This window comes from Homo sapiens, chromosome 10 (assembly GCF_000001405.40).
Source record: "Homo sapiens chromosome 10, GRCh38.p14 Primary Assembly".
NCBI classification, from domain to species: Eukaryota; Metazoa; Chordata; class Mammalia; order Primates; family Hominidae; genus Homo; species Homo sapiens.
This window is the reverse complement of record NC_000010.11, coordinates 84,359,024-84,380,383: the sequence shown is the minus strand read 5'-3', so window position 1 is coordinate 84,380,383 and position 21,360 is coordinate 84,359,024. Positions and strand designations below refer to the sequence as shown.

The following is a 21,360-nucleotide window of genomic DNA, read 5'->3' as shown; positions in this document are numbered from 1 at the left end:
TAACAAGAATTAAATTCCAACCACATAAAAAACTCTTCCATATCAATAAGAAAAATGGCAAAACCCAACTGAAAAATCACTGAAGTAAAAATTTACATAAAAGGAAACAAAACTGCCAGTAAAATGTGTGAAAAAAATGACAAAATCAATAATAGTATAAATGTAAATTAAAATTATGTATCATCTCACACTCACCAGACTGATTAAAATGTTGAAGTCAGATGACGACATATGGGGTTCAGATGATAAGTGACAGAAATTCTCATCCTCTACTGGAAGGTATACACTGGTAGGACCATTTTAGGGAGAAGTTTGATAATATCATTAAAGTTGAAAATACACTATTCCTAGTTTTATATCCTAGGAACGCTATAGCTAGGTTTATATCCTAAAGAAACTGACTTATATGATCAAAGAGAATTGAATCCGAATGTTCACTGCTACACCATGTAGACATTATTATTAGCAATAAAGAATAACTGAAATGTAGATTAGCAGGGGAACAGAGAAAAATACAGGTATATTCAAATGACAGAATATTATAAAGTAATAAATATGAATTAGAACTACAATACAAATACACATATACACAAAAAACATAAAATTGAGTTAAAAAAGAAACCTGTAGAATATTACATATCACTTACCTAAGTTGTAAAATACGTACAAAATCATACTGTATATTGTTCATGGATATATAAATGCATTAAGGATAATGGCCTATACAACATGCCTTAGAATTCACAATTTTAAAACAACGCACATAAAAAGAACTAACTGCTATATTTACTACTAGGGTGTTTACTGAATGCATTCTTTCCCAAATAATAAAGGCTTCTCTTTATGAGAATTCATTCATATGCCAGAGAAGGGAGAAAGGCTAAAAATCAATTATCTAGTTTCCATGTCAAAAACTTTGGAAAAGAAAAAACAAATTAAACTAAAGAAAAGTAGAAGAAAGGAAATAAAGATATAAACCAAAATCAATAAAAACAGAAAATAAGCACAATATAGAAAAATCAGCAAAGCCCAAATTTGGTTCTTGGAAATGAAGAAAAAGAGAGGAAACACCAATAACCAGTATTAGGAATGAAAAGCAGACGTCCCTATAAGATGTTAAAAAGAGGATAATCCTAAACAACTTTCACCAACAAATGACAAGTTTAGATGAAATGGACAAATTTTCAAAAACCAACACGAATATACATACAAATTTTAATATGCCAATATCTAAAAATTAAAACTGTTATTAAAAACCTTCTCATAAAGAAAACTCCAGGTCCAGAAGGCTGAATTCTGGCAAATTCTTTTACATACCTAAGGAATAAGCACATTAGTTGTACACAAATTCTTTCAAAGGACAGAAAAATAAGAAACACTTCTCAACTCATTATAAAGCCAGCATGATCTTGATACCAAAACATGGCAAGAACAAGTAGAAAAACAAGAAAATTACAGAGTAGAACAATCTTACTCATGAACATACATGCAAAAACATAGACTATTAGCAGAGCTGGGTATAGTGGCATGCACCTGTAGTCCCAGCTACTTGGGAGACTGTGGGAGGAGGATTACTTCAGCCCAGGAGTTCAAGGCCAGACTGGACAAAAAGAGACAGACCCTATCTCTTTTCTAAAAATTAATTTTTAGGCCGGGCGCGGTGGCACATGCCTGTAATCCCACTATTTTGGGAGGCCAAGGCGGGTGGATCACCTGAGGTCAGGAGTTCGAGACCAGCCTGGCCAACATGGTGAAACCCTGTCTCTACTAAAAATACAAAATTTAGCCAGGCGTGATGGCAGGCGCCTGTAATCCCAGCTACTCGGGAGGCTGAGGCAGAAGAAACGCTTGAACCTGGGAGGCAGAGGTTGCAGTGAGCCAAGATTGCGCCATCGCACTCCAGCCTGGGTGAGAAGAGCGAGACTTCGTCTCAAAAAAAAAAAAAAAAAAATTTAATTTTAAAAAATAATTTTAAAATATAAAAATTAGAAAATCTAGTTTAACAACATTTGAAAAGATAATACATCACGACCAAGTGAATGTATTCTAAGAATGGAAAGGTAGTTTACTATTTGAAAATCAAGCCATGCAATCTACCACACTAACACAAAAAAAACTTCATTATCTCAACAGACGTAGAGAAAGCATTTGGTAAAACTTAATATTCATTCACAACAAAAATTCAGCAAACAAAATAAAAGAGAATTTCCATACTCTGATTAAACTCCCTCTCAACTCCCAAAAACTTTAATGGTGAACTATTAAGGCTTTCTCTCTGAAATTCTATCACCATTTCAATTCAACATCACGTTGGTGGTCCTAACTTGTGTAATAGGGCAAGCGCTGGGGTGGTGAGGCAACTTTTTTGCAAATGGTATGATTATAGAATGTATATACAAGTTCCAAAATCATCCAAAGGCAAATTATTATAACTAGTAGATGAATTTACAAGGTTATTAGAAAAGTCCAATATACATGATAAAAATCAGGTATATTTGTATATACAACAAAAACTCATAAAATTATAAAAATGGTACCACTTACAGTGTCAAAATCAAACATGCATAACATTTTATAGAAAAGTACAAAACATTAGCAAGAAGTATTTCTAAAGTCTGAAATTAATGGAGGACTATATCTCCATCATAAATATGTCAATTCTCTCCAAAATCATCTATAAATTCAATGCAATCCCATTCAAAATCCCTGCAGGTCCTTCCTGGAAACGGACAAGCTCATTCTAATATTTAATTGGAAATACAAAAGGTTAAGAAGTGCTACAGAAATCTTGGAAAAGAACAAAGCTGGAAGACTTACCCTACCAGGCAGCAAAATTTATTTTAAAGCTACGATAATGAAAATAACATATAACTGACAAAATAAACAGAAATATTTGTCTATGCAATGAAATATTTATATATGCAGTCACTGATTTATGACAAAGATGACCCTGAAGTACAGTGGGGGAAAGATGACTAAAATAAATTAATCGTGACATCTATCTCACACCATACAGAAAAATAATTTCCAGATGGGGACTAGAGACCTACAGGTAAAAGGTTAAAAATAAATAATGCTTTTAGAGCAAAACATTGAAACATATATTCATGATATTAAGGTGGGAAAAGACTTCACAAACAGTTTTTTAAAAAGTGGTAACGGTAAAGGGAAAACTTGTAAAACTGGACAATATCAAAATTGGTAAGTTCTATATCAACAGACACTAAGAGATTTCAAAAGCAACTCACAGTAAAGAATACACTCTACATATATAAAATGTAAATATACACATGAATACAAACATCTACATATTGATATAAAATAAATATTTATGTCAAAAAATATGAAGAATTTTTACAAATCATTAAGAAAACAAACCCAACACAAGACACTTCACAGAAGAGGATATATCCTAATGGCCCAATAAACATATGTGAAGGTGCTCTGTGAGTAGTTATCAAAAAATACAAGACAAAATCTCAATGCAATACTACTATACCCACAAAATAGCAAAAATGCAAAAAGGCAGAAAGCACCAAGAATAGACAAGAAGGTGAATTTTCCGGAATGTTCATTTACTGCCAGTGGGGAGTGTAAACAGGCACAATCACTTTGAAACACTGACAGCATCTTTATCCATCAGCATAGCCTATAACCCAGGAATCTCTCTCCTACACATTTTCCCAACAAAAATGAATAAGTGTTCACCAAAAAAACATATATCAAAATCTTCACAATCATGCAATACTCTAATAGCCAGAAACTGGAACCAACCTAAATGCCCATGAACAATAAGATAAGTTGTAGTATATTCACACAAAGGAATATGATACAAGAGTAAAGAAACTACAACTGACAAATACATAATATTAATGAAAAGAAGCTAGATATAAACCAGCACCTTTATGATTTCATTTATATAAAGTTCAAGAACAGTCAAAGCTAATTTATAGTGACCGAAACCAACAGTGATTGCAGAGTAAGAGAATGACTGACTGAAAGGAACAGAAAGGGAACACTCTGGAGCGATGGGAGTATTCTATATCTTAATATGGATGATTGTCAAACAAGCATACAAATTTATCAAAATTCTCTGGTCTGTCTGCAGAAGATTTGTGCATTTTACTGTACGTAAATCAGACCTCTGCATAATACTGGTAGCATGTAAACAAATAAATAGCCAGGATTCTAGACTGGTGTTATGAAAAGTAATCAGTCTACAAACTATTTGTTGGGATCCTTGACATGATTAGGAGATTGCATCAGAATGTATATCAACACATTGTTTCTTTCAAAAAGGAAGACTTACTACAAAAACAATGTCAGCAGAAATGAACAGTGGGTGGAACTAAACTGTGTTAGAAGTGACACAGTTGATGTACATTCTAGTGAAAGCTCCTTATCTTTACCTGGACTGGTAGAAGCAGTGTTGCAGAGACAAGAAAAGTGAGAATATGCTAAAGGTCTTGAGGGGTTAAGTAAGAGATACTACTTTGAACCACTGTAGGAAAAAAAAAAAAGAAAAAGAAACAGAAAAAAAAAGCAAGACAATTTAAATAAAAATAATAAGATGGCAGAGTAAATACAGTCCAAGTATAACAATACAAACATAAAAGGATTAAACTCACTAGTCAAAAGAAAAAGACAAACTGAAAATTTTAAAATAATAAACTATTTGCTATACATAAAAAAGGCTGATAGTAAAAGAAGAGAAAATATATAAATAAAACTGGTAAGGTATATTAATATTTGGAAAAAAAGGAGTGTGAAAACAAAAAGCATAGTTAGAGATAGAGAAGATCACTAAGTAATGATGGAAAGTCCAATTCACCAAAAAAAAAAAAAAAACAAACCAACAATTCTGAACAGGTACACGCCTAAAATTTATACAAAACAAAAAATTCACGTAACTTCAGAGCAAAAATGGTAAATCCTACATCACTGTACGAGAACTCAACACATGGTTCTCAACTTTTGCCATCAACTCTCTATTCTTTCTCAGACTTTGTCATCTTCTCCTTAGATCAGAAGAGAAAGACAGAAACACCATCTTGTTCCAAAGCACAGAATGGATGTTTTTTTCTTCCCATACCAATAGACATAAACCTACTGAACAAGGAGGAAACTCATGGATCTTAAGGACTAACAGTTAATCCAGATGCATTCTGAAATCTTTGACAGAAAGCTATTTTGTGATTAGTTACAGGAACAATGAACTGAATCAAGGTGGTTAGCCTCCAAAAACTGTCAGGTACTAAGTGGTTTATTGCTGCCATCTGCTGGACACCTTTTTCATTTGCACTTCAATCATATTTGCCTTAAAACTCCTAGTAAGACAGCATATAAGGTCTTAAACTGTTATCTTTTCTGAGCCTCCTTTATCTAATGAGATGAAGACACTGTCTCTAAATTAAATGTTTGTATGCAAGGTGTTGACAACGGTTAAAAAAAATGTTTGTGCAATTTAAGCCTCCGTTAACAATGGCTTAAGTAAAAGGTTTATAGGAGTATAGAAAATTACATTGCCTGAAATCCACTTGGAATTTAATATATCCACAGACTACCAATTTTCCCATACAACTACTGGAAAATCGTATTTTATATACTGAATAACTGCAATGAGTCACTTTAAACATACCAATTACACTTTACCCATATGGCATATTATCCACATTACTTGCCATGTTTCTTAAAATATGCACATATAAATTCATGGCAGGTCTTCTAACACTTGCCCATAGCTGATTCCCTTGCCTTCCAGGCACACACAAAGATTACACTTCCTGTCCCTTTAGTACTCAGATGGGACCACATGATTAGTTCTGGTCAACAGATCATGAACGGAAGTGCCAAGTGTTGCCTGCAGGCCAATGCAAGTAATTATATGTGTGAGACCCTCTGGCACTCTCTTCCTCTGCCATAGTGAAAAGAAGGGACCTCAAAAGATGGTCAAGCCCCAAAATCAAAGTAGTTTAGATCACTAAAGACAGCTGCCCTAGAGAGCTGTCCAGACCCACAACAAACTTTCTAAGAGTAAAATAATACACTTGTATTGTATTATCCCACTGAGAGTTGGCACTTCAATGTTACCTCAGTATAGCACAGGCCAAGGTTTCTCAACAGCAGCAGTACTGCCATCTTAGGCTAGATAATTCATTGTGGTCTCTGTCTTGTGGACTGTGGGATGTTAAACAACATCCTTGGCATCTACCCACTAGATGCCAAGAAGCACTCATCAATATGACAACCAAAACCACCTCCAGTCATTGACCTCCTCCCCCAGTCTTTGAGAACCACTGGCATAGATTAAACTACTAATATAGTATGCACATATGTATGAGGAATATATATGTAAACATGTTGAGTATATTTAAGTCAAATGTCATATATTCTCCATGCTTTATTTCATATTAGAGTCAGATATTTTATAGGCTCTTAACAAATATGAATTTCCATTTCTCAAAGTAGTAAAGTTAATTCATAAATTTTTTACAAAATCAATCATATCACAAGTCTCTCTATAGTAGGGTAAACAAAATATTCCAAGAGTATATAAATCCATACATACTATGCTGTTCATTTCAGAGGACTCATAGCTCCCAACTGGATGGACATTTCCAATGGGTTCCAAGCCTTCTTCATCCCACATGTATGTTCCATCAGAGCTATCAGATGGAGAGAGTTCAAACGAAGAACCAGCTCTGTAGTCTGTATCTGGTGAAACCAAATTATTCCCAGAAGTATGTTTTGTACATTCACTCCTGTCTTCAAGAGAAAAAAGGTTACTGATTCACAAAAATATAATTGTTTCTCGTGTCCTAAAAATATAAGTGCTAATAATTTGATATATCATAGCAAAAAAGCTGGCTCAAAAAAAGCACTCATAACTGTAGCATTTTCTATATCCTAAGCAATAAAAACATCAAGAGCCAAAATCTTTAAAATAACCTACTGAAATATTTTCTAATAGAGGAAAAGAAAATTCATTTAGTCATCTTTCACTTCTGTAATATTTCCAAAAATGTAAATAAACCCTCATATTCCTATATTTCCCAAGATATTTATTTTTAAACACTGGCCAGGAAACTCCTTTTCCTCTGTGTACACTATTTAACTTCATAGATTAAATAATGTAGGGTACTCATAATTGCCTCCCTATAAGGAAATAAACTTGTTCCGGCAGTCTCTTTTAGAAGACCTATAGACAATCAAGGGTTTGTACATGCATTTCTATGCACGATCTAGTCCCCTGATTATACCACATGTCTATATCTAATCCCTTTAGTTGTTCTTTATTCAGGTATATGGGCATACAAATACCAAATACATTTTATCCAGCATTTAGTAACAGGATAACCAAACATAAGAGGAAATGTTTAACAGGTATTATTTCACTTTCTTCAGTTTAATAAATAAATAAAGCTCTCTCAGGAAGTGTATCTAAAAAATTGCTAAACAAGAAGAATTTTCTAGGATAAAAAAATCCGTGAGATTAGACATAACCTATATTATCTCATTGTACCCTTTGGTACAGCTTTACTCTTAACAAATAGCAATGAAATGCTATCCTAAGAGAAGAGATGGTTTGTTTAATGGCATACCACACTGGTTGAGGTAAGCAGGGGAAGTCATTTAGAAGCACTGCATATACTAAGCAGGAATAGGCTGTGTATAACAGCCAAAGAACAACAAAGGTTAAGAGTGGTTTTATTAATATTGTCTTGGATAGGGTGAAAAATGGGGTATGGAGCAAAAGTCACAGGAAAATAAACGTTAACCCACCTCAATTTTGTCTAGATCTATCCCTCCGTGAAACTGATAATATCTTGAAATCTATCTGAAGATAATCCTAAATGTAAGTTCAGTTATATTATTTAAAAGAAAGCAAAAAAACTTAAGGTAAGTAATATTTACCAGAGACACTTATATCTATCCATTCATCAGTTTTACTGAAGGCTTTTTCATTTTCCTTGGGGGAATCAAACATATCCTGTGGTGGCCCATTTTCATGTTTCTCTTCTTTGAGAGACATTTCCTCTGGAGTTATTCTAGTTCTGTTGGAGTCTTCTATATCTATAAAATCATCACTAAAGTCTTCACTTAAATCATTCTTATCAGAAGATGACAAAGACGACAAGGAAATGTCATCCACATCATCACTCAGGTATCTCATTTTAGCATCATGTTTCATGGTCTGGTTGTTTTTTGTTCTATAACTTTCATTTTCAATCAGTTCTTGGTCCTTATTAGCAGCTCTGTCCTTAGCCAAAACTGTAGCATCTTCCTCTACACATGTGTCAGCAGGTGAATTTTTATTTCCATCAACTGTCATAGTCCCAGAAAATGGAGATCGGCTAGATTTCAGTAGAGAGGGATGAACCATTCTATAACCTAAAGTAGAAGTTACACCTGGGCCATTTGGTAAAGCCAACTTCTTTCCACCAGCAGCATAAGGCCTATTAAATCCATACCCCAAATGTTCATTCCCATTGAGTACTTCTGGCTGCCGGGAATTTCTTGTTAGCATACTTGACCGTAGAGGCACTCTAATGGATAGCTGTTGGTTCTGATAAGGCTTTGTAAGATCCACAGCTCTATTAAAGGAATGTGATCTGGTTATAGATGAAGGTGGAAGGAATGAATTCTGAATGGAATGTGAAAAACTTTGTGACCTTACCATTTTTTCACAATTAATAGATTTACTACTGTCTGGGGATTGAGCTAAGCTTTCTCCAGAACTGCTTCTGGTGGCACAGGAGTTCGCTCTAGGCCTTTGCATGCTACCAGCTGATCGGTTTCCATAAAATCCATTCAACTGTGATTTTGGAGTATTGATCGAAGAATATGAAGTCCTTCCTAATAATGTGCCTTTGGTGAATTTACCCAAATTAGATGGTCCAGAAAAAGACTTTTGGTTTAACTCCTCTGTAGATGACACAAACATAGTGGATGGCTTTGCTAACTTTGATGTGAATAAAGAAACACTTTTCAAACCTCCCTTTATCCCATTTTTATCAAACATTCCTTGAGTAGGAACACGTTTTTCAGGATCAATTATTTTATCATGTGAATTTTGAGTATTGTTAGGCTCTTCGACACCTTGTGCACAAAGCTGATATTTATTTGCTTTCCTCCAATTAAATGAATGAGATGATGGACAATCAGAGCCATTATTTTTGATGTAACTTTTGACATTACTATTCTTGGAAGTTCCTAATAAATTAACAGGTGTCCCATTTGGCATTGGCTGCAATGTACTTCTTACAGATTTTGTTCCATACTTTGGCAACTTGGAACCCAAAAATGTCTTGATTTGTGTTTTTTCTTCCATGAGCTATAAGGTGCATTTGTTCTTAAAAGTTGAAAGAATCTGTGAAGAGAAAAAAGAAGTACATTAAACATTCCTAAATAAGGATAATTACATGAATTATTACATAATATGATACTTACACTTTTATACGCAGAAAAACCCAAAAGCTACTCATGATTCCTACAGAACTCCTGGCAAATACCGAATGCACTAATTAAATTAATAACTTTATGTTGGAAGAAAATAAAGAACATTTTTATAAACTTTTATAAATGTATGCTATGAATGACAGCAAAATCTAGAAATAAAATTAAACCACCAAATTTGACTATGTAAAAAATAATACTTACAGAGTACTTCTTCCAATTTCCAATCCAAATAATTTTTTCATTTTGGGTAAAAGTCTCTCCTTTAAAAATAAGAACATATGGAAAGCCACAGCCAGTGCACTCAGGCAAGAGAATGAAATAAAAGGCATTCAGATTGGAAAAGAAGAAGTCAAACTATCTCTGTTTGCCAATGATATGATTATATATCTAGAAAATCCTACGGACTCCTCCAAAAGATTCCAAGATTTGATAAATCCAGTAAAGTCACAGGTTGCAAAATCAAAGTACACAAATCAGTAGCATACCAACAATGACTAAGCTGAGAATCAAGAACTCAATCCCTTTGACCATAGCTGCAAAAAAATAAAATAAAATACCTAGGTATACTTAACCAAGGAAGTAAAAGATCTCTACAAGGAGAAGTGCAAAACACTTCTGAAAGAAATCACAGACAATGCAAACGAATGGAAATACATCCCACACTCATGCATTAGAGGAATCCATATCATGAAAATGACCATGCTGCCCAAAGCAGTCTACAGATTCAATGCAATTTGTATCGAAATACCAACATCATTTTTCCCAGAATTAGACAAAACAATCCTAAAATTCATATGGAACCAAAAAACAATCTTAAACAAAAAACCAAATCTGGAGGCATCACATTACTCAACTTCAAATTATACTACAAGGCTACTATAGTAACAAAAACAGCATGGTACTGGTATAAAAGTACATACATAGAGCAAAGGAACAGAGTAGAGAACCCAGAAATAAAGCCAAATACAATCAACTGACCTTTGACAAAGCATACATAAATGAAAATTGGGAAAAGAACGCCTTATTCAATAAATGTTGCCAGGAAAACTGGATAGCCACATGTAGAAGAATGAAATTGGATCCCTATCTCTTACCATATACAAAAATCAACCAAGATGGATTTAAGACTTAAATCCAAGGCATGAAACCATAAAAATGCTAGAAGAAAACCTAGGAAAAACTCTTCTGGATATTGGTCTAGGCAAAGAATTTACGACTAAGACACAAAAAGCAAATGCAACAAAAAAATAAATGAGACCTAATTAAACTAAAAAGCTTCTGCTCAGCAAAAAATAATCAGAGTAAACAGACAACCCACAGAATGGGAGAAAATACTTGCAAACTATGCATCTAACAAAAGATTAGTATCCAGAATCTATAAGGAACTCCAACTAATCTGCAAGGAAAAAAATAATCCCATCAAAAAGTGGGCAAATAACATCAACAAACATTTTTCAAAAGAAGGTATACAATGACCAAGAAACATGAAAAAAAAATGCTCAACATCACTAATCATCAGGGACGTGCAAATTAAAACCACAATGAGATATCACCTTATCCCAGCCAGAATGGCTATTATTAAAAAGTCAAAAAACAATAGATATTGGCATAGATGTGATGAAAAGGGAACATTTAGGTACTGCTGGTGGTAATGTAAATTAGTACTACCTCTATGGGAAACAGTATGTAGATTTCTCAAAGAACTAAATCTACCATTTGATCCAGCAATCTCACTACTGGGTATCTACCCAAAGGAAAACTGTATCAAAAAAAAAAAAAACCTGCATATGTATGTTTATCACAGCAAAATTCACAATTGCCAGATGTGGAACCAACCTAAGTACCCATCAACCAATGAGTGAATTAAAAAAATACACCATGGAATACTACTCAGCCATAAAAAAGAATGAAATAATATCTTTTGAAGCAACGTGGATGGAGATGGAGGCCATTATTCTGAAGTAATTCAGGAATGAAAAACCAAATACCACATGTTCTTACTTGTAATTAAGAGCTAAGTTATGGGTATGCAAAGGCATACAGAGAGGAATAATGGACACTGGAGACTCAGAAAGGGGGATGATGGGAGAGGGATGAGAGATTTTTTAAAAACTACACAATGTAGTAGGGTACAATGTATACTATTCGGGTGGCACGTGCACTAAAATCTCAGACTTCACCACTACACAATTCATTCATGCAGCCAAAAATCACCTGTTCCCTTAAAGCCAGTGAAATAAAAGGTAATTAAAGAACATATTATTTTTTTAAAAAAATACATGGTTTTATAAAAGCTAGAAGACATTCGAAAAACCTTAATTACTAAAGTCATGAGAATTTTTTTTTATTTTTAAAACAACTGATTCCAAGTCAACCCTGGCCTAAGAAGTAGAGTTCCTATAATACATGTTATTATGTCAAAAGTAAATATTTAGAAAATCGTACAAATGTTCAAGTATAGAGTGAAAAAAGACTAAAGAACGTCCTGTTACCAACAACTAAGAGATATATATATATATTTGTGTGTATGTGGTTTTTTTCAGCAGAAAACCTATCAGTTACACACTGTAATACAAAAAACTATTTAAACTAAGAACTTATAAAGTTTAAAAAGTAGCGGACAGAAAAAAATTCTGTATGGTACAGTATGACTGGCAGCCTGATTACTGCCTGGAAGCAGTAGTGAGAAAGAAATGTGAACTAAAAAACTTGAAAATTTTAAGAAATACCTCTAGTTTGGATAGAAAAAATTTGATTTGCCATGCCCTACAAAAGTTGAGGAAAAATATCCCGAGCACAGAGGCTTCAAAACCTAGGCAGAGGCATCACCAGGATCTGCCAACTTCTAAGTCCCTATACTGAGTTGAGGGAAGGATCTGAAGCCCATAGACATGTACTGTACCCTCAGCAGTATGAAATGAGACTGGTATAGGACATTTAACGCAATCTAAGGAGATGGGAAAGCATAGGGCCACAGAAGGGCAAAAGCGAAGTCTTGACCTAGGTATCCAAATTAAGCCTGAGCAAGACAAAAAGAAATGCCCATACAATCATATAAACAGTTTCTTGTAACACAGAACAACCTAATAAGAACATGCATCTAATGAAACAAAAGCCCAAAGATGAAAAGACAAAACAGGTAAATTGAAAAGAAAGGCTTCAGCGTTAAGGAAACCAATTAAGAAGAACAATGAATTTGAAAGAAAAAAAAAAAAAAGCAAGGAAAAGAAGCAAAGACTTAAACAAATGGCAAGGAGAAAAATCTTAAGGTAACAAGAGTATATCGAGGAGGCTAAGGTGGGTTGATCACTTGAGACCAGGAGTGTGAGACCAGCCTGGACAACATGGCAAAACCTCATCTCTACAAAAAAAATACAAGAATTAGCCAGGCATGGTGGCACACACCTGTTGTCCCAGCTACTCAGAAGGCTAAAGCGGGAAGATCAACTGAGCCCACGAGGTTGAGGCTGCAGTGAGCCGTGATCAAGCCACTGCGCTCCAGCCTGGCTGAAAGAGTGAGACCCTGTTTCAAAAAAAAAAAAGTATCGAGGAGAAAAAAAAGACAAAGATATTGAATTAGAAAGAAAATGTAGGACAAAGGCTGAACAGAAAGATAATTAGTATCCCTGAAGTAGAATAACTAATTAAATGGAAGAGAAAAGGCAGGAGGACATAATAGAAAATATCCCTAAAATAAAGGTGAAAAAAAATCTATGGAGGGAAAGAAAAAATATATCAAATCACAGATGCAAATACGTATCCTATTTAAGTTAATGAAATACCAAGGATAAAGAAATAATTCTCCAGAAATACAAGTAGAGAAAAAAAATCACCTTTAAAAAATTTTTTAAACTTGGAATATACAAAGGAAATAACTGGATAACCTTCCAAAGAAATGCTGGAGCCTCTGGGGATAACTTAATCCTGTAGGAATCACATTAATTTTACCATTAAAAATTTATTCTAAATTCACCACTTCCATTCCACAATTCTAGTTCTTATGCTCATCATTTCTTCCTGTACTACTACCAAGGATTCCTACATTTGTCAAGATTCCAACCTTACTTCTATTCAAACTGTCAGCAGTTATCTTCTTAAAGCAAAGATCTGGATCACGTCATTCTACTGATTAAAAACCATCTGTGAGACTAGGAACAACAAAATAAAACCCAAAACTCATTGTACAGGGAGCAAGCTACTCTATTTGATTCTACCTTATCCTTGTTATATACTTAAGCCAAGATACGTTATTTGTCATTGCCCAAAATCCATCCTATATTTTCTAACTTCTTTGCCTTTGCTAAAGACCCCTTGGAAGATTCTATCCTCAAAGTCCAAAATCACCACATCCACCAACATTTCCAGTTAAAATTAATCTTACATCATTCTCTATTCTCTTCACAGCAATAATATAGCTGAGTTTGTCTTCTAATTGTGTGCATGTCTATTTGACCCACAGGAAAGTAAACCTGCTGAGAACATAAACTAAGTCTTATATACTGTACTTTGAGGCCAGCTACAGGACTACAAATTTAATAGATCCTCAACTTTTAAGTAAATTCATAATCTCTTAATGTAAATTAATTCAACAGTAAGGAAAGACTAAAAAAGAACTTTGTTTTGTGGACCTGTGATTGACTGGTAATAGCTCCCTTGGGCAATATGTTGAAAAGGATTCCGAGGCCGGGCACAGTGGCTCACACCTGTAATCTCAACAGTTTGGGAAGCTGAGGCGAAAGGATCGCTTGAGCTCAGGAGTTGAAGGCCATACTGAGCAACATAGTGAGACCTCATCTCTACTAAAAATTTAACATTAAAATTTTTAAAAAACAAAAAGGATGCTGAGGTCAAATCTAGCTTCTGAAGTAGTGACATGATCAAGCAGCAATGTTTGCCAGGAGCAGAGCAAGGGACAGTGGCAATATCCATGCCAGACAACTGTCTTCCTCATTTTTGATAATGGTCTTTTCCACAAAACATACTACCATACCCACAACCACTTTCGGTATAAACATAAGAAAACTGGTATTGATATTACATATTAGGGTCATTTTGCAAATCAATAAATAATACATGTTAAAGATTAAAGAGCCTGTGAGTCAGAAAGGCTTTAACATTTCCCCGCCTGTCACAAGTAGACCACGGAAAGAAAATTATATTCTTTCCTTTCTCTATGCCTCTATTTTCCTGCCTAAGATGAGGGTAATACATGTTATCTCCCAAGAGCATCTTCAGTATTAATAACTTAGAGGCACAAGATGAGCCCACAAGAGAGACACACTGTTACTGGTGTTTGTGGTTCCACCAGTTTGTGGGGGAAAAGAATAATGTTAGAACCTGAATGTGCTATTCTCTATGAAGAATAACGATTTCTAAATGTACAAATAATTGCAACACAAATCACATCAATCATCTTGAACTTTGGTCTTAAGATAAACTAGTCTGACAGCTCCACTATGAAGTTTACGTTATGAATATTATCACTTCATTCGTTGATGAGCTACCATCTGTCTTTAAAAGTTCATGAAATTTTCCCTTATATTTGCTTATAATTTTGAAATAAAATAAAATAGACATTGTGAGTCTGCTTCATTTTGGTAGCCATGCTGTCTTTGATGCACTTTACCTAAACTGTAATCTGTTAGGTGTCTAAAAAATCCATTCATTAACAATTTGAAAAAATATATGTTGCCTACATCATCTAATGATATAATCTCTGAGACACTTTAATACCATCTGTGAGCTTTAATTTAGTGGTGAACTAAGACTAATATCTGGACCAGTGCTTGAAAATGTCAGTTTTTTTTTAGTTTCTGCAAGAATAATTTTTTAAAGTATAGCAAATTTACAGTATTGGTATTTAATATTTAAAAATTTTTTTCAGGCCGGGCGTGGTGACTCACGCCTATAATCCCAGCACTCTGGGCAGCTGAAGCATGTAGATCACCTGAGGTCAGGAGTTCGAGACCAGCCTGGCCAATATGGTGAGACCCTGTCTCTGCCACAAATACAAAAATTAGCCAGGCATGGTGGCACACACCTGTAATCTGAGCTACTCGGGAGGCTGAGGCACAAGAATCACTTGAACTCGGGAGGCAGAGGTTGCAGTGAGCCGAGATCATACCACTGCACTACAGCCTGGACAAAAGAGCCAGACTCCATCTCAAAAAAAAAAAAACAAAAAAAAATTCAAAAATACTTATAAATGCCTTTTTTTAAAACTGTAAATCAAGCTTCTCGCTTTTAAAAGAAATCCACAATTGGATAAGGGAAAAGCAGCAGCAAATATTATTAAGCACTTACATGATAGGTACCATGCTTACCACTTCATACTTTTTGTTTAATCTTCATAACATTATAAGGTAGTAGATTTCTTCCCATCTTAAATAGCTAAAACCAAGATTCAGAGAGGCTAATATACTTGTCCAAAGTCACAAATTCATAAACTGTCAAAGAGGATTCGGGTTCAAGTTTACCTGATTCCAGGGCCAATGAAAACTGCCTTCATGACAAAGGAATGAAATACAGTCAGTGAGCCAAGCAATGATGTTACAGTCAATAATGGACTATATTTACAACGATGGTCCCATGAGATTACAGTGGAGCTGAAAAATTCCTATAGCCTAGTGACATGCTAGCCATTGTAACATTGTAATGCAATTACTTTATTTTTTACATATTTATTGTATCTGTTTGTACAGAGTTTATAAAGTCTATACTAGTGTGCAATGATGTCTTAGGCCTTCACATTCACTCACCACTCACTCACTAACTCATCCAGAGCAACTTTCAGTCCTGTAAGCTCCATTCAAGTGCCCCATACTGGTATACCATTTTTTTCTCTTTTATATAGTATTTTTATTGTAACTTTTCTATGTTTACATAACTTTAGATAAACAATTCCTTACCATTGTGTTACAACTGCCTACAGTATTCAATACAGTAATATGCTGTACAGGTTTGTAGCCTATAAGCAAGATAGTATACCATATAGCCTTGGTGTGTAGTAGGCTATACCATCTGCATCTGTGTAAGTATACTCTATGATGTTCACAGAACAACAATGGCCTAAGGAGGCATTTCTCAGAACAGATCCCCTTCGTTAAGCGATGCTGCCTGTATTCTGAGAAGCCTACTAACAACAAGGGACAAGAATGAAGGAAGGGACTGAATGGCTAATGTCAGAGGAAAACCATAAAGACTGCAAAGGACCTAGATATTAATTACAGAAATTTAGCAGAAGAACAGTAAGAGCTGTCACTTTTTCAAACTCCTTTCATATCCATTACCTCATCATCTGAGGAACCACCCACTCACTGTCTTTTTTTAGTTTTTCAAATAGTTTTTTAGAAGGTATAAATTGTCTGCATTTTAGGGGTTTAAACAGACATAAACTCACTACTAAGTACAAGAGCAATTAACTGAACAACAATACTGATGACTACACACGTATAAGCAGTTACTTCGGAAATCTGCTTTCAAGTTCAGACAACTAGATCAGAATTTAAAGTAATTTTTTTTAACCTTGTGTTACTCAACTACTTCTTTCATATCCCCTTTTCCCATTTTTTCCTGGCTGTCATCTGTGGCATAAGCTGATTCAAAGGCTTGATTATAGCAATTAAATAAGTGGCCAGGCGTGGTGGCTCACACCTGTAATCCCAGCACTTTGGGAGGCCCAGGCAGGTGGATCACCTGAGGTCAGGAGTTTGAGACCAGTCTGGCCAACATGGTAAAACCCCATCTCTACTAAAAATACAAAAAAAAAAAAAAAAAATAGCTGGGTGTGGTGGCTCACACCTGTAATCCCAGCACTTTGGGAGGCCAAGGCGGGTGGATCACCTGAGGTCAGGAGTTTGAGACCAGCCTGGCCAACATGGTAAAACCCCATCTCTACTAAAAATACAAAAAAAAAAAAAAATTAGCTGGGCGTGGTGGCAGGCACCTGTAATTCTAGCTACTTGGGAGGCTGAGGCTAAAGCATTGCTTGAACCCAGAAGGCAGAGGTTGCAGTGACCGGAGATTGCGCCATTGCACTCCAGCCTGGGTGACAAGAGTGAAACTCCATCTCAAAAATAAAATAAAATAAATTAAAATAAAATAAAATAAAATACCAATTAAATAAGCAAAAATGACAACTTTAGCCAAAGTAAAGGTTTAAAATGGTGCGCTTACTTCCAGATTCTTCAAAGTTTTAAAGAGGACATGCCATGCTCAACACAAAGCCTCTTTATTGTATCAATATGACCTTTCTGTGCTCCAGCTACAACTTCATTTTCACTCACATAAATGGAGTTCAAAGTAACTTGTAAAAGTTAAGCTCAAAAGGAATTTGTGGTTTAAGAACATTAAATAAGGTTATTATGCAGATCCAATGTATATTACTTCCTGAAATTTAAACTTAAAAGAACAAAAATACTAACAAGAGGAACCAGAAGTTCCCCTGGCCAAACCATAAAAATTTCTCCCTCCAAATTTTACCAGTTGGTACAGGAACACAAAACTCAAATACCTGTGGGGCATGCAAATGTCATTAATGTGCAGAGGGCTAGGAAAAGATGACACATGCCAAACTACGTCAATATTGACCCATATACTGCCTTTTAAAATAGTAGACACCTATAACAATTAAGTACAGACATTTTACAAACACCAGGTCAAATCAAAACAAGCAAACATTTAACATTTCAGTCTATACAGGATCTGCTTGAGCAAAGTTCCCTATATTAAATTAAATGGGCAGTAGGGACAGGGCCATAGGAGATCCAGCATCAGGAAGAACAGTAACAGGAGTAACATTAACATGGATGGAAGACTACTAGGCCATAAATTCACTAATGGCACATACTGGGTTTGATTCACCAGAATACACTACTCAAGCCCCAGCTTGCTCAGTATATGACAAACAGTAAATACCTAAACATGAAACATTTTGTAAACATCTACATACGTTAGAATTATAGTTTCATAGAAAAATGTTAGTGAGGCCAGGCACGGTGGCTCACGCCTGTAATCCCAGCACTTTGGGAGGCCGAGGTGGGCGGATCACCTGAGGTCGGGAGTTCAAGACCAGCCTGACCAATGTGGAGAAACCCTGTCTCTACTCAAAATACAAAATTAGCCAGGCATGGTGGTGCATGCCTGTAATCCCAGCTACTCGGGAGGCTGAGGCAGGAGAATCCAAAAATCCAAAACGCAGAGGTTGCAGTGAGGTGAGATTGCACCACTGCACTCTAGCCTGGACAACAAGAGCGAAACTCCATCTCAAAAAAAAAAAAGAAAAATGTTAGTGGTAGTTTCTACATAATAGAATACAACATGGTAATGAAGACCTAATTATTGCTATATGCAACAATACAGATAAAACTAACAGGATCCTTTAAACAAGAGAATCCAGAGACTTGAGGATAAATATAGTGTGATTCCATTTATATGAAGGTCAGATTTCCATTTTCGATGTAAAAAGCTGCAATTAATATCACTCCTACCTAAAAACCTGGAAGAGCCAGATAATCTTCAAAATCATAACCTTTCATAAGCCCATCAGAAAGCTGTTATTGTAAGGCAAGCAAGTCAACCAAATTCCAAAGGGAGACAAGCCCCTCCCAGGAGAGACGGGACATTTAACAGTTTCACTTTTGGCTGAGCATAAAAGACAGAAATGACCACCATAAAAAGGAGTAATAAGCTAACATTTTAATGTCTGCTTAAAAGCCAAATGTGGACTAGCACAACAGCAAGCTCTTCCTCATGGGCCTCAACCTAGCATTCAAGAGAAACATATAAGAAAGCCCCCTCTTAACGGCACAGGCATGCAGGAGGTGATGAAAGCCTGCACTGGAACAAACACAAACCCTCTCACTTCCCTGCCTCCTTCTGTCCTCTGAAGCAAAAGCCTTAAACTGCTGGGGAAGCAGCAGCAAGACTTCTCACCCAGGGGCACAGGAAAAAAATCCAGTGCATGTGGAGGAAACAGAATGGAATGGGAGAAATGTTCAGTTGATCCATTTATGTGAGAGTAAGGTCAAGAACTGATTAAAGTAATTATGATAATATGTGTTAGAATACAGCAGTGGTTCCACAGTGCTTGTGTGTATCAGAATCACCCGGAAGACTTCATTAAAACAAGATCTCTGGACTCCACTCCCAGAGTTTCTGAACCAACATATCAAAGGTAAGGCCTTAGGAAAAAGTATTTTTAACAAGTTTCCAGGTGATGTTGATTCTGCCGATCTGGAATTCATACGTTGGAAATCCCTGGGACAGAGACTAACTCTGCAAGAGCGGGCTAACTGAAAAGGGGTTGACTGAGACATTGGCAACTTGATCTGGATGGTGTAAAATTCACCAAGAGTACATCATTTAAGATTTATGTATTTTATTGTATGTAAGTTATACTTCATTTTTTAAAGCTTCTCTTAAAAAATTAAAAGCCTCAAACTGCTTCTACTCCTATAAATAGTAAAAATAAGCCTTACTGCAAAGACAACTTATTCTACAAATTGATAAAAGAAATAAGCATGTATCCTGCTCTTCTTGTATTTCAAAGTAACCAAAAAATTGATGGAAAATCTTCTTTATAGAAGAACCACAACTGATAAATACAGAAAAAAAGATAGAATCACAAAGTAAGAAAATCTGAAACACTCCATTAAATATCAAAACACCCCTCAAAAAAGGGAGTGTGACAGTTAAAACTGAAACTATTAAAAGGTAAGTGGTAAATAACACCAGGGATTAATTATGCTGTTTTCTCTACACATGATGTTTGAAAACATCCATATAAAACTTCCATTTAAAAAAGTAAACCCCAGCCAGGCACAGTGGCTCACACCTGTCATCCCAGCACTTTAGGTGGTTGAGACAGGTGATCACCTGAGGTCAGGAGTTCCAGACCAGCCTGGCCAAGATGGTGAAACCCCATCTCTACTAAAAATACAAAAATCAGCTGGGTGTGGTGGCAGGTGCCTATAATCCCAGCTACTTGGGAGGCTGAGATAGGAGAATCACTTGAACTCGGGAGGTGGAAGTTGCAGTGAGCTGACATTGCACGACTGCACTCCAGCCTGGACAACAGAGTGAGACTCTGTCTCAGAAAAAAAAAATAAAATAAAAATAAAAAAGTAAACCCCAAATAAGGATGCTTTCATCAGGGAAAGAGATAGGAAATAAATTTCAGCACATTCCACATTATCCTCCTTCTCTTAGCATTCATTTTCATTCTCTCTCAGGAGCACTTATATACCCCTATTCAGAGAACTCCCAAACCCTGGATCTCTACATTTAACTCCTCCTACAAAAGACAAAGGACTCTTGAATTAGCAAAATCATAAACTTCTAACTACCCTGACCAAGGCTGATCAGCAGTAGCATCAATAACACCTAGAAACTTGTTAAAAATAGATTTTCTAAGGCCTTACCTTAGATATAGTGCTCAGCAATTCTGTAGAGCCCAGAGATCTTGTTTTAATAAAGCCTTCCAGGTGATTCTGATACACACAAACACTGTGGAACCACTGCTCTATTTTAACCCCTATTATCGTAATTAGTTTAACCTGTTCTTGACCTGACCCTCACATAAATCAACTAAACATTTTTTACATTCCATTCTGTTTCCCCCAGATACAATGGACCCTTCAGAGTTGCAGGTGCACCAGGGGGAGATAAATGAAGTCCCCTCCCAATTCCACAACTGTATAAAATACTATTGATACAGTAATGCCTGAATTAACTCATCCTAGGGGAATTAAGTAATCCTTTGGACATAAAGCACTTTTTAAAAAGAAAAAAAAAAGTTGGGACAAAAAAGTGTATGTCCTGAAAATTAGATATTCCTGGTCTTGAGTCATTTCCAGTGGGAGAAGGTTACAGGAATCTTTCTGAAGAGCAAACTTCACTAAG

At 35.6% G+C, this 21,360-nt stretch overlaps 1 protein-coding gene across 14 annotated transcripts in view; it reads right to left on the bottom strand.

Moving 5' to 3' along the window:
* Positions 1-21,360, bottom strand: part of CCSER2 (coiled-coil serine rich protein 2) — a 189,929-nt gene that overhangs the window by 138,134 nt on the left and 30,435 nt on the right. For 11 of the 14 annotated variants that reach the window (NM_001351290.2, XM_005269905.5, NM_001351292.2 and 8 more), the window contains exons 2-3: positions 7,915-9,370; positions 6,569-6,765 (exon numbers count right to left, since the gene is read on the bottom strand). In NM_001351290.2, coding sequence (NP_001338219.1) covers positions 6,569-6,765; positions 7,915-9,331 — 1,614 coding nt within the window. In that variant the 5' untranslated portion in view covers positions 9,332-9,370. Of the gene's footprint in view, positions 1-6,382; positions 6,766-7,914; positions 9,371-9,660; positions 20,075-21,360 lie in introns of those variants that run through there. The other 3 variants (XM_047425365.1, NM_001284241.2, XM_047425368.1) reach the window with 3 other exon arrangements.